Source organism: Homo sapiens, chromosome 6 (assembly GCF_000001405.40).
Source record: "Homo sapiens chromosome 6, GRCh38.p14 Primary Assembly".
NCBI lineage: Eukaryota > Metazoa > Chordata > Mammalia > Primates > Hominidae > Homo > Homo sapiens.
This window is the reverse complement of record NC_000006.12, coordinates 121540119-121555238: the sequence shown is the minus strand read 5'-3', so window position 1 is coordinate 121555238 and position 15120 is coordinate 121540119. Positions and strand designations below refer to the sequence as shown.

The 15120-nt window shown below is 38.0% G+C and overlaps 1 pseudogene, besides 1 other annotated feature; it reads left to right on the top strand.

The window, feature by feature from the left end:
• Positions 9245-9414: an enhancer, noted in NCBI's record as "experimental_89523 CRE fragment used in MPRA reporter constructs". NCBI's record gives its function as "activates a minimal promoter by MPRAs in K562 erythroleukemia cells, with activity observed for the introgressed 6:121867056 variant allele {active_cell/tissue: K562}" and the evidence as "EXISTENCE:reporter gene assay evidence [ECO:0000049][PMID:34662402]".
• On the top strand, positions 12613-12753 carry RNU4-76P (RNA, U4 small nuclear 76, pseudogene; annotated as a pseudogene).

The following is a 15120-nucleotide window of genomic DNA, read 5'->3' as shown; positions in this document are numbered from 1 at the left end:
AATGAATGTAGGAGTGCAGGTATCTTCACAAGGTGGTGATTTCTTTTCCATTAGGTACATGCCCAGAAGGATTGCTGGGTCATATAGTAGTTTCATTTTTAATTTCTTTAGAAACCTCCAAACTGCTTTCCATAATGGCTATACCAGTCTACATTTCCATCAGCATTGTCCAAGGGCTTCCTTTTCTCCACAGCCTCATCAACATTTATCTTCTGAATTTTGATAATAGCCATACTAACAGATATGAGATGGTATCTCAGAGTGGTTTTGATTTGTTGTTCTCAGATAATTAATGATATTTAGCACCTTTTCACATATCTTTTGTCCATTTTTATGTTTTCTTTATAGAAATGTCTATTCAGGTAAAAAGCAAAAATTGTATTTAAAAATAATAAGGGAGGGAAGAAAGAAATAGCAGATGTTCCTATCAAGTACAACAATAGTCAGGGATTATATGAGCCATTTAAAATCCCAAACCCAACTTTTAAGTATATTTTAAATATTTCAAGTTACCAACTACTCTTTTATTGTTTGTTTTAGTTCATTTTTGTGTTTTTTTGCTTGTTTGGTTTTTTAGAGACAAGGTCTCACTATACTGCCCAGGCTGAAGTCCAGTGGCTATTCACAAGTGCAATAGTAGTACACTGCAGCCTTGAATTCCTGGCCTCAAACAATCCTCCTGCCTCAGCCTCCCAAGTAGCTGGGACTACATACATGCAGCACCACACTTTTTTCAAAAAATACTAAAACACACTTGCTTCAATTCAGGAAAGTATCCAGGGTAGGGAGTGATATTATTCAATGATTAAATGATACATGGAGATGTATGTTAGCTAAATGGAAAGCACCATAGTGCAAACTGGAACTGTTTACAGTTAAATTTAGACATAAGGAATCCTTGGACATTGATGGCAGTGATTGACTATATAATTTTTTTATTTTTTAATGTTCCTGAATCTCCTCTTTCAAAAACAGACAGGGCAATTATATAGCAAAACCAAAAACCCACAGACAACATTTAATACAAAACATTATGACAAGGTTTCCCACAAACTCTAGAATAAGAGGGTATGGACAAAAAAACAACAGCCTCTGTGAGGGAGAAAGAAAATAACCAAAATAGTCAATAGGTATTCATTTGAAAATGTGACGTGCCCATGTGTGACCAGCAGCTAAAACTTGAAATTTTGCCCAATCTGGTAGCAAGTGGGTGCAAGAGGTCCATATAGAGTCCTGAAGAGGCCAAAGCAGGCTACCTCCATGAACTCTCAACACTGGGCAGCCAGGGCCTCATTCTAGGACAGGGACCCAAAAATCAAAACTAAACAGAATATGAAGGAAAGGGAAGATCGAAATAAAAGTAGGGCCACAGAGGTGGGAAATCTCAGAAATCAAGTTGCCATACTATTGAACACATACACGCAACAGGAGCAAGAGCTCTGTGAAGTTAGAAAAGTCACCTCAGAGCCGGGGGCAGTGGCTCACGCCTGTAATCTCAACACATTGGAAAGTCAAGGCAGGAGGATGGCCATGATTGCACCACTGCACTCCAGCTTGGGTGACACAGTGAGATTCTGTCTCTAAAAGAAAAAGAAAAGCCATCTGAACCAAGTCTCCTGAAATTCCAGGAAAATGAATTTCACATAAAAAGGGACAACAGGAAAGGACTGTGTTAACTTCCTAGGGCTTCTGTGAGATAGTACCACAAATTGATGGCTGACAGTTCGGAAGACCAGAAATCCAAAATCAAAATGTCAGCAGGGCTGGTTCCTTCTTACAGGCTGTGAGACAGAATCCATCTAATGCCTTTCTCCTAGCTTTAGGTGGTTGTGGGCAATCCTTATTGTTTCTTGTGGTAGTAGACACATCACTCCAATCTCTGCCTCCATCTTTGCATTGCTTTCTGCTTTTTGTGTTTTTCTCTTTGTCTTCTCCTCTTCTTATAAGGATACCAATCACTGGATTTAGAACCTACCCTAAACCCAGGATAATTTCATATTGAGGTATTTTACTAATCACAACCTAGTTAAATCTCCAAATTTAGAAACTTATTTAGAATCTTATTTCCAAGGTTCTGGACAGACATGAATTTTGGGGAGACACTAGTCAACCCACTACAGCAATCAAGGTGAAATTCCCTAAAAAACTAACCAAAAGAAGAAGAAGCAGAATAATATGTCTACAGAAAATGAAAGCACCCAAAAAAAATGCCCACAAAATATATCAAAACTATAACTTCTTATTTAAAAACAATCTAAAGACATTAAGAAAATAATGACTTGAAATAACAAAATTCTTACTTAAATTAGAAAAATCAGAAATAACTTGACAGAATTTTTTTAAAATTAGAAATTTAAAAATATTTTCAGAAATAATTGTTGCTGGTTGTAAACCCTTAAAAATATTTTTGGAAATGAAGGCTAAACTAAAACAGCACAAAAACAAGTGAATACAACAAAAAATACCTTAAAAGAAATAGAAGTTTAAAAATGAGTGAAATATTAAAAATAAATGAAGGAAAATAGACTTAAGAGAAGGGGACAAACATTGAAGATTGAGGAAAAAAATCTGATATATCAGTCAACAGGAGTCTCTAGAAAAGAAAACCAAAGTGAGAGAAGGAAAAAAAAGAAAATTATAAAAAAAACTTTCAAAAAATTGAATTTAAAGAGCATATCTTATATCCAAGAATATCTATCTAGATTAGAATAATCAATACTAAGACATATTCTAGTAAAATTACTGGACTTGAAAAACCTTTGGGTATCTGGGCAAAAGTAACAAGTAACTTATAAAGGAACAAAAATTAGACTCAACAGACTTCTCAGCAGATTTTAATGCTGGAAGAAAGTAGAATAAGTATTTAAGATATTCACAGGGCCAGGTGTGGTGGCTCACATCTGTAATTCCAGCACTTTGGGAAGCCAAGGAAAGAAGATCACTTGAGGCCTGGAGTTTGAGACCAGCCTGGGAAGCATAGCAGCCCCATCTCTTAACAATAAAAATAAAAATAGGCCAAGTGCAGTGCCTCATGCCTGTAATCCCAGCACTTTGGGAGGCTGAGGCAGGCAGATCACAAGGTCAAGAGATCAAAACCATCCTGGACAAAATGGTGAAACCCCATCTCTACTAAAAATACAAAAATTAGCTGGGCGTGGTGGCATGCACCTGTAGTCCCAGCTACTCAGGAGGCTGAGGCAAGAGAATCGCTTGAACCCGGGAGGCAGAGGATGCAGTGCACCAAGATCGCGCCATTGCACTCCAGCCTGGGTGACAGAGCCAGACTCCATCTCAAAAAAAATATAAAAATAAAAAATAAAATAATTTTAAAACAAAATATATTCAGAGAAAGCAAATGTGAGTCAAAAATGTTAAACTCTACAAAACTGACTTCTATGTGTGAAAGATGCCTACAGGCTGTTAACAGCATGCAAGAAGTAAGAGAATGCTATTCCCATGGGCTGTTTTTGAAGAATTTATTAGCAAATGAGTTTTAAGCATGACTAAAAGGACATCAATACTCTAATGAATAAAAGGAGAAAATATAATTAGTAATGGCTTATATGTGCTAATAAAGTAGATGTATTTTTTAATATATTTTTACACATGTATTTTTAAAAACACGATCAGAGTAGGTGAATAGAGAAGAAAATGCAAAAATAATTGAACTATGTCTATAATCACTGAGGTAATAGGGATTAAAACAAATCTTTGATTTGGATTTCCCTTGATTATTTTTTGATTAGCGTTATTAGTCTGTCCTTACACTGCTGTAAAAATACTACCTGAAACTGAGTAACTTATAAAGGAAAAAGGTTTAATTGACTCACATTTCCACATGGTTGGGAGGCCTCAGGAAACTTACAATCATGGCGGAAGGAGAAGCAAGTACCTTCTTCACAAGGCGGCAGGAAAGAGAAGAATGAGCAAGAGCAGGGAAAACTGTCTTATAAAACCATCAGATCTCGTGAGAACTCACTAGCATGAGAACAGCATGAGGGAATCCACACCCATGATCCAATCACCTCCCACTTGGTTTCTCTCTCAAGACTTAGGGATTATGGGGATTACAATTCGAGATGAGATTTGGGTAGGAACACAGAGACAAACCAAACCATATCATTTAGCATGCCAAAAATATAGAATTTTTTTTTTTTTTTGAGACAGGGTCTTGCTCTGTCTGTCACCCAGGCTGAAGTGCAGTGGTGTGACCATGACTCACTGCAGCCTCAGCCTCCCAGGCTCAAGTGATCCTCCCACCGCCACCTCCCAAGTAGCTAGGACTACAGGTACACACCACCCTGCCTGGCTAATTTTTTAAGTTTTTGTAGAGACAGGGTCTTGCTATGTTGCCTAGGCTTGTCTTGAACTCCTGGGCTCGAACAAATCTCCTGCGTTAGCCTCCAAAAAGTTGAAGTTACAGGCATGAGCCTCAGTGCCTGGCCAAAAGTATTTTTAATTCTTTATGAAAATAAACAGAGTTAGAGTTTATCAGACATGTGGAATGTCACTATTCTTTTTTTATTTTCCTTGAGACAGTCTCACTCTGTCACCCAGGCTGGAGTGCATTGGTATGATCATGGCTCACTGCAGCCTAGACCTCCCAAGCTCAAGTCATCCTTCCACCTTAGCTTCCAAAGTAGCTGGGAGTACAGGCACATGCCACTGGCTAATTTTTATTTATTTTATTTTTTGTAGAGATGGTGTTTTGTCATGTTGCCTAGGCTGGTCTCAAACTCCTGGGCTAAAGCGATCTACCTGCCTTGGCCTCCCAAAGTGTTGGGATTAGAGGTGTGAGCCATCACACTTGACCCAAATGCCACTATTCTTCTATATATGAAGTTCCCCAAAACATATCTTATTTGGTTCCTAAGCAATCTAACATAAAAAGAAGTCTGCATTAAAAATTATGGAATCATTGATTTGACATGAAATTATTCAAAAGACTGTTTTTCATTAAAATGCTGGCTTCTAAAATGGCTTAAATTAAGTTTTAGTAAGCATGAAAGATTGTTTTACATCAAAACAGTATCAGTAAAATTTCTGAAAAACGTTTTTATGAAACAGCACTTTGATGTTGTTTGCAATATCGACAAATGAGGAGCTGCTTAAATTGTTGGCATACTGACCATTTATTTCTTTGTTTTATTATGGCTGTTAATTTTTTTACTAACATGTTATAATAGTCCCTAGTGTATGAAGAAACAAATGAGTTAGAATCTATCTCAACGCTGCTGCTTATGCTTCCCTGAGTCAGCTTTGTCTAAGGCAAGCTGACCCACGAAGACTTCAGTTGGTATGTGTGCATTAAGACACGTTCACAGCCTAGTGGGGTTACTCAGAGAAAATGAATCACACAGTATTTAAATATTTGGCTCTTTAATTCTTGTTGGGCTTGTTTTCTGCAGAGTCCAAATTTTCCCTCCCACATAGATATTAGATAGTTAGGAGGTAGAGCTTTGCTCAGTGCAGCATTTTATTGACCCAAATATGTATGTTGTTCTGACTTCCAAAATCAACTATTTTAGCTAACTTTTTATTTCCTCATATCCAAATTTTACATCCATCTACAGCTATTTTTCAAATGGCCTCAAGGGACAAATGTGTATTTCTCCAATACTAACCCATTTTAGATCTGTGCTCCCTGCATAAAGGGAAGGCCCCCTATAAAGAATGTGTTCTTCACCTGGCTACTTCTTGTTGAAGGATTTAAAAAATTACATGTAGAGATGTTTTTAGTCTGACTATTACCTCCAAGAATTCTTATGGAGTGTGAAAAGTGGTATTCATTAAAGACAGAATTTATGGGCATGCAATATTCCTGAGACTATTAGAAATCTTTATTAACAATCTGCAAGTAGTTATTCTACAGAGAAAGAGGAATCCATTCTAATTGGTTAGGAAATGAAGAAGGGGGATAAATATGCCCAAAGCTATGATAAAACAAATTTCTCATCACAACCTTGTATAATCACAATATAAGAAATGGAAAAAGTATATAAAAAGAAAACTTGGTAAGAAATTAACTATACATCAATAACTAAAGGACATGTAAAGAATAGAGAAACTCCCAGCCTGGGCAACATGGTGAAACCTTGTCTCTACAAAAAACAGAAAAATTAGCCGGGTATGATGGTGCATACCTGTGGTCCAAGCTACTTCGGAGGCTGAAGTGGGAGGATCACTTGAGCCCAGGAGGTCAAGGCTGAAGTGAACCTTGATCAAGCCACTGTACTCCAGCCCGGGAGAAAGAGTAAAACCCCATCTCAAAAAAAACAAAACAAACAAACAAAAAAAAACAAAAACAGAGAGACTCCTTCTTGAGAAAGCTAAGAACTGAAACAGATGATGAATAACGTAAAAAAGAAATGTTTAATGTCAAATGATGCAAAATGAGAAAAAAATAGCACCATATTTTTCATTCACTTAAAGAAATGTAAAAACAGATCCTTATAGGTTAAACATAACATATTTATAGAGGCAAAGTAAGACTTTAGCTAACAACATAGCAATTAAACTTCCTCTCCTCTGCTTAAATGTTACAATTTTCTGTAGTTACAAGCCAAAAAAGCTTTCCTATTTTTAGTGTTAGTGTTCCATATAAAAATATTTTCTGTGTTTTGGAGAGGAATGTGGACTTGATGTTGCAGTCACCTGCAAATTCAAAGTTTTGAGGAACATGAAAAAATATTTCTCTAAGCTAAAGGAAAGGAGATCTCTCTGAGTATCTACAATATGTTACTCCAAAATCTGTGTCAAATCCTTGTAAAATGAAAGCATGAGAATGACAGAGTTCTTAGTGTTTACTACAAATGTTTCATCTCAGCGAGAATGAGATGGTTTATGTAAATTTTGCAACATGCCATCCCTTTTCCAATTTTAGAAACTGTTACAAAATCAGACTTCATTTGAACATATTATAAGCGTTTTGGCATTTTGTGTGGGTCAGATTTTAAGGGGAAAGAGTGAGGTTATTATCTCCTTCGTGACAAATTTGAATGGCCACTCCCAAGTAATTCTAGCTTTCAAAAACTGTAGAATTTCCAGCCACAGACAGCTTAATCCATAAGACAAAATCTTATGGATTTTGTCCACTGATGTTATTCACAGCTATAACTGTCTAAAAAACTGACAGCAGTAAATATAACTAACATGGCTGTATTTTGCCAGGATCTTTAAAAAAGAGATTGCATAGTTCTTTCAAACTGCACATAGTGAAGAGAATCAGCACATACCATTTAAAGAATCTCTTATGACAGTCTTTATTTACAAAAATAAATTCTTAGAGACAGGGTCTCAGCATGTTGCCCAGGCTGGCTTTGAACTTCTGGGATCAAGCAATCCTCCCACCTTAGCCTCCCAAAGTACTGGGATTACAGGTGTGAGCCACCACAAAAAACTTTCACAAAAGTTGAATTTCCTGGTTCAACTTTTTTTGCAAGCAATTTTTTAAATTGACAAATTAAAATTGTATATATTTATGATGTACAGCACGTTGTCTTTAAATACATATACATTGTGGGATGGCTAATTTGAGCTTGTTAACATAAACATTATTTCACATACTTATCTTTTTATAGTGAGAACACTTTAAATCTATTCTCTTAGCAGCTTTCAAGAATACATTGTTATTAACTGTATTCTGCTAGTTCAAATTAAATGAAAATTTAATTTTCTGCATAAATGTTTACAGCAAGTGATATGGAAGGGAGATGCTGGGAAGGGAAGGGAAAAGAACGGAAGGTCCCTTTAAATGATAGGGACAGGGGAAGTGCAGGGTAGAGGAGGGTGTGGTCCCTAGCTAGGGCTCCACCTCCACAGACCTAGGTGCGGACAGGGATTTCCAGCCCAAATGTTGCATTTCCAAAGACCACCCTGGCCTGCCACACTCCCCATCCTGTGCCTATAAAAACCGGAGACCCTAGCAAGGCAGACACAGAAGGGGCTGGATGTTGAGAGGAACACATTGGTGGAGGAGCACGCACAGGAGGAGGAACACACAGGTGGCTGGACTTTGAGAGGAAATCACCGACAGGCACCGGCATGCAGGCCACTGACCAGCAGAATGATGTGGAGTTTGGCTGGGGCCGCTGAAGGAGACCCCTGGCCACCAAGCGGCCCGACTCCAGGGGAAAACCATTTCTCTTCAGGCTCCCCCATCTGCTGAGAGCTACTTCCACTCAATTAAACCTTGCACTCATTCTCCAAGCCCACGTGGAATCCAATTCTTATGGTACACCAAGGCAAGAACCTCAGGATACAGAAAGCCCTCTGTCCTTGGGATAAGGTGGGGTCTAATTGAGCTGACTAACATAAGCCACCTATAGATGGCCGAACTAAAAGAGCAAAACTAAAAGAGCACACTGTAACACACACCCACTGGGGCTTCAGCTGTAAACATTCACCCCCAGACACTGCCGTGGGGTCAGAGCCCCGCAGCCTGCCCGTCTGTGTGCTCCTCTGGAGGTTTGAGCAGTGGCGCACTGAAGAAGCAAGCGACACCCCCTTCGCACACCGTGCCAGAGGGCAAGGGAACCTGTCCCGTTTCACAAGGGCATCAAAAAATTCCATAATTTTAAAATAAATATTAATTTCAAAATAGACATTTGTTATTAATGAAATCCTATCTTATCTATATCTCTCTATATGGGCCCCAGCCTCAAATTTCTCTCTATCTTATCCCTATGCCTCGTAACTGTCTTGTCTTTAAGAAAACTGATTCTTTTCCTAAATTATGCTGCAGAAGAGAGATTGTAATAGGGATATTCCATAGTCGTGTACATTAAAAAAAACAGCATGTTAATATTAACAGGTTTATTTAATGCAGTTTTTCCGGGCCTTTAATCTGTTAATGTGCCAAGTGAATCTCTAAGAAGGAAGTGGAGAATGCAGCATTCCTTACATTTATTTAATCACAAGTCTCAACTTGTGGGATTGGTCTTCTTCTGAATCTAGAAGCAGTTTTCAAATTGATATTTCAAAATTTTAAAAAATAAAACTAAAACAAAAAGAGCCGGAAGTGGCTCTTTTTGATACTTTTGTTCAGCCATTGTAGTCTCACGGCAGTTTTACTCCCTTCGTAAATCCTTGATACCATCTCTCTCCACTTTACCTACGTGTTCCCATAGTACCTTATCCTCCTATAGAATTTAACAAAGGCTATTACCACAGAGTCGACGAAGGTCTCTCCCTCATCTAGACTGTAAGGGTCCCTGAGAGCAGGCCCAGCTTTTATTTATATTTGGACCACCAACAGGAAGTATAGTGCATGAAAACTTGGTAGGTGCTTATTGAATCATGGCTAAGAACACACACAAATATATATGGGCAGATTTGATGGTGTAAATTCAGTCTGAAATGGATAGAATTATTAGACCAGGCCGGGCACGATGGCTCATGCCTGTAATTCCAGCACTTTGGGAGGCTGAAGCGGGCAGATCACGAGGTCAGGAGATCGAGACCACCCTGGCCAACATGGTGAAACCCCGTCTCCACTAAAAATACAAAAATTAGCTGGGCGTGGTGGCGCCCACCTGTAGTCCCATCTATTTGGCAGGCTGAGGCAGGAGAATCGCACGAACCTGGGAGGCAGAGGTTGCAGTGAGCCGAGATCGCATCATTGCACTCCATCCTGGGTGACAGAGTGAGACTCCATCTGAAAAAAAAAATAATTATTATTATTATTAGACCATAAGTGACTTTTGGTGTTTTTAAAAATTCAAGCAGGTCAGAGGTGGTGGCTCACAACTATAATCCCAGCACTTTGGAAGGCCTAGGTAGGAAGATTGCTTGAGCCCAGGAGTTGGAGACCAGCCTGGGCTACATAGCAAAAGCCCGTCTCTATATAAAATTTAAGAATTGGCCAGGTACGGTGGCTCATGCTTATAGTCCCAGCTATTTGGGAGACTGAGGTGAGAGGATCTCTTGAGCCTGGGAGGCAGACACTTCAGTGAGCCAAGATCAAGCCATTGCACTCCAGCTTGGGTGACAGAGTGAAACCCTTTTGCAAAAAAAAAATTTAAGCCAAACACCAATTAAGATTCTTTAATTGCTAAACTTATCATAAGTACCATCAAAAACAAATTTAAATTATAGAGAAAATATTGCCAATAAAGCTTTAATCCATAAAAGATCTGTGGCTTAGTTAATTCTTCAAATACGTTTATGCTTTAAGAGTATTAACGTGGCATGCTATGATCCAGAGAAAGAAATTGCTGTTATCCTCTCTTTAAACTTCTTAGAAAAAGAACACGTTCTAAAATGAGGTTGCCATATATATCCAGGAGCACTGCTTTTCCCTGAGAGGTTACATCATCTGCTGGCCACCCACCCCTAGGTACCTCTGAGAATAGTGTAATAACATACCAGGCTAATGAGAATATTCTCATTATGCTCTCACAAGTATGAAAACTTATGCTGATTAAAATAACTAGTGCCGTCATGACTTAACCACAAATTTTGTTTGTGTTTTTTTGTACATTAATCATTATTTAATAGACCACAGATGTGTCAAATAGCAATTTTTTAAACACTGATTTAATTTTTTTTAATTGGCGAAGTCAGTTGAAAGTGCCAGTGTGTTGAAAGAAAACTCTGGGTGCTAAAAATGATTTAATTTTCTGTACCTAAATTCTGCACAGAACTTGATTTAGGGTCTCATTATCTTGTTCTTAGAAAGGGAATTTTCACGTGGTTAATTTAGTAGGTAAAGTTATATAACAATCTTTTCTAAATATGCTATATCTGACCTGACCTAAAACAAAAGTCAAAGAATCAGATGTAAGATGTACTGAATCAAAACTTCCTTAGAAATAATGTCCAAAATACAAAGTTGTTCATTTCTCCTGAAATATCTTTTTAAGTTTTCAAAGTCAATTGATTAGAGTTGCACAGAAAATAATATTCAGAAAAGTTGAGATTTGGCCAGGCACAGTGGCTCATGCCTGTAATCCCAGCACTTTGGGAGGCCAAGGTGGGTGAATCATTTGAAGTCAGGAGTTTGAGACCAGCCTGGCTAACATGGTGAAACCCTGTCTCTACTAAAAATACAAAAATGAGCCAGGCTTGGTGGCAGGTGCCCGTAATCCCAGCTATTCAGGAGGCTGAGGCAGGAGAATCGCTTGAGCCCAGGAGGCAGAGGTTGCAGTGAGCAGAGATCACACCACTGCACTCCAGCCTGGGTGACAGAGGGAGACTCTGTCTCAAAAAAAAAAAAAAAAAAAAAAACAATGTTGAGATTTGTCTCAAAGATATTCTTGTGTTAAAACTGTCAGAGTATACCCTAGTGAGAGAGGAAAAAGAAAAAAATCAGATTGAAAGTTTAGCCAGGGTGTGAGTCAACTCAGGATGTGACATTACATAGTAGTGGAAAGCCATGAGCAAAGACACATTTTCCTCAACATAGAAAGGAGATAAGTAATTTTAAAAGCAAGGAGCTATTAGGGGAAATAGTCTACCGATGTGAAAATCATATCATAGTTCCATTTTTCTTTCCTGTGTCAGTAAATTCATGTATTTGGCAGAATCTATAAATGATTTTCTTGCTTATGGATATTATTTCTATTACACTGAGTATGACTCATTATTAAAGACGGCCACAGGGGAAAATGACCAGAGAAACTACCAAAACGTGAAATACTGCCAACGTGTGAAGACGAGGTTGCATACATTTTAAATTCATTCATTCAATGCCTTTAAATTTCTTATCAAGTCCTAAGAATGATACAATGGACTTTGGGGACTCAGAGGAAAGGGTGGGAGGGGGCGGGGCATAAAAGACTACACATCAGGTACAGTGTACACTGCCCGGGTGACGAATGCATCAAAATCTCAGAAATGACCACTGAAGAACTTATTCATGTAACCAGACATGACCTGTTCCTCCAGGTGGTGAGAAAACCTATTGAAATTTTAAAAGAAATGTTAAAATTTTAAAAAAAAAGTAAAAATAAAATATCATACCAGAATTAGGACAAAATATGAGACAAAAACTAAAAAGAGCTCACCACCTTTAAAAAAATCTGAAGGATGTATTTCAGAGAGAAGTATTCTTAGACAAATTATTATGAGATACAAGAAGGAATAAACAGCAAAAATAGAATAAATGTAAACCACTGACTGGAAAAAAATTTCATGCCAAGTGAAAGTAATTTATTTAAGATGCTTTTTAAGTGATTAGAAAATATCTAACCTAAATAAAATGAATAGAGTGAATTTTTATCCTGATAAATTATTTCCACTACTGATTCTTTTACTCTAAACACCTTTTAAAAAGTAATAAATATTCAACTGGCATTGCTGTTTTATACCTTCAGCTATCATGAGCATCACTGTCCATTGTCAATTTCTTATGATCATGACACTGCTTACTATGGTTGTGATAAGGTAGCATGGTAAACTTAAAATACACATGCACACCGTCATACACACATTTAGCTAGACCTTAATAATAGTCACATTTAAAATAATCTGTTGCTACTGAGTAATATCTTCTTCCAAAGTGTCATAACAGTTACATAAAGCATTCCCAGAGTCAGAACCTTCAGAAAATAAAGCCAATTATTTTCTCGATGCAAATTCTCCATGTAAATGTCTTTCCTAAAGATGTGGTCTACCTCTGCACAGTGGCAGTATCATAGTCAATGAGGTTTATCCAATGTGTGATTATTGTTAATTGAAAACTTTTCCCAATACCCCACCATGATGACTTGAAATATAGTCAGCATGGGCAATTTTTGAGTGTCTTTATGGAGACTGAACAAAAGAAAATAAATAAATAAGAAGAAGAAGATATGGCCAAGAGAAAATATATTATATTCAGAGCATATTATGAGAGTCATTTTTCTGGGTACATTTTTTCCTGTGAATTAATTTCACCATGCCAACCCTTACCATATGGACTGGGCATGGTGGCTTACACCTGTAATCCCAGCATTTTGAGAGGTAGAGGCAGGTGAATTACTTGAAGCCAGGAGTTTGAGACTAGCCTGGGCGACATGACAGAACTCTGTCTTTAGAAAAGATACAAAAAAATTGGCCAGGCGTGGTGGTGTGTATCTGTAGACCCAGCTACTCCAGAGCCTGAAGTGGGAGGATCACTTCAGCCTGGGAAGTCAAGGCAGCAGTGAGCCGAAATTGCACCACTGCACTCCAGACTGGGCGACACAATGAGAAGAGAACCCTGTCTCAAAAAAAAAAAAAAAAAAAAAAAAAGCCATGATGAACATAGAGTCCAAAGACATGCTTTTTTTCTTGATTACTTACAACTACTAAATAATCTATAAGATATCTTCTGATTCTAAAATTCTATGTTGCAGTTATCGTTGCATGCGTATTCTGTTTTTTAAGCTCTAAATACCAAAAGAATTTGGATTATGTGGCACCTAATAAAATCTAGTATAACAGTGAATCCATGAATTAGCAACATAGCCATGATTTAAGATTTTTTTTTTTTTTTGGAGACAAGGTCTTTTGCCCATGCTGGAGTGCAGAGGCACAATCACAACTCACTGCAGCCTCAGCCTCCAGGGCTCAAGTGATCCTCTCACTTCAGCCTCCAGAGGAGCTGGACCTACAAGCACATGTCACCATGCCCAGCTAATTTTATTAAATTTTTTGCAGAGAGGGGGTTTTGCCGTGTTGCCCAGGCTGGTCTCGAACTCCTGAACTCAAGCAACTGGCCTGCCTCAGCCCCCCAGAGTGATGGAATTACAGGCATGAGCCAACATGCCAAGTCTTTGTTTCTGTTTCAAATTTATGAACTACAACCGGTTTCTAACAGTCTTTAGTATCCCAAATATCTGCAAAACTGAAACATTTTAAATTTTCAATCAATGAAATATGCACATAGTACAATATTATATGATATTCCAAAGGAACTAAAAATTATACAAAGAAAAATAGGTTTTTTTCTCACACTACTGCTCAACTCCTTTTCCAAAATACAATCACTTTTACCATATTTTATATTCTTTTAAAAGTAATCTACATATTTAAAAATAAATAAGCACATAAATACTATGGAGATGTATAATTCGAAAAGTAAGGAGTGTGGTGTCGAAAATGCAACATTCTCCTCCTAAAGCAACAAAATAAAACAACAAACACACATGCACACACATGTAAGTAAAGACACAGGTAAAAGGTGACATGAAAAACTTGGTAATTAATGATGCAGTCATAACAGAAAATAAAAAGATAAAGACAGCAATGGTGATGTTATGTAGGCAAAGCAAAAGCCTTGGGAAAAAACTGCTTTGCCTTTGCAATGTAGTGGGGTGGAAATCATACTGACTTTGTTGTCAGATAGATCTAGATTTAAATCCTGTGATAGCCCCTTATTAGCTACATGGCCGTGGGCAAAATAACTAGTTCTCTAGTTCATTTTCAACTTCAAAAGTGTAATAACAGGTAACAGATCATAATGGAGTCCTGAGGATTGGATGAGAGGGTGTTTGTATGAGATTTTGCATATAAAATTCTATTTCTCACTGCTTTGAAGATCATAGACTTAAACATCTTTCATAGCCCCGTTTTTGTTTGTTTTTAGAAACAGCATCTTGCTCTGTTGCCCAGGCAATGGCGTGCTCTTGGCTCACTACAGCCTTGACCTCCTGGGCTCAAGAAATCCTCCCAGCTTAGCCTCCCAAGTAGCTGGGAATACAGGCACATACCACCACACCCAGGCTTTTTTTTTTTTTTTTTTTTTTTTTTTTTTTGTACAGAAGAGGTCTCACTCTGTTGCCCAGGCTGGTCTCAAACTCCTGGCTCAAGTAATCCTCCCTCCTTGGCCTCCCAAAGTGTTGGGATTGCAGGCCTGACCCATCATGCCCAGCCTCATGGCTCTTTTTAAAAAGAAAAATAAACAACACAACAACAGCAACAATAAAGCAATCAAGTAGGTAGAGTAAAACTGCATGACCTCATAGTAATGCAAAATCCCATGTAAAATGCAATTAGGAATCATCTCCTAGGCCCCCGAACCTCCCAGCCAGCCAGCTGCACCGGCTCACCTGTCATTTTATTATCCCTGCAATCATCTGAGTCTTTCCTTTTCTTACTGACATTTTTTTAACCTCACTTATGGCAATATAATGGGGTTCTCCTACACGAAAAATTAAG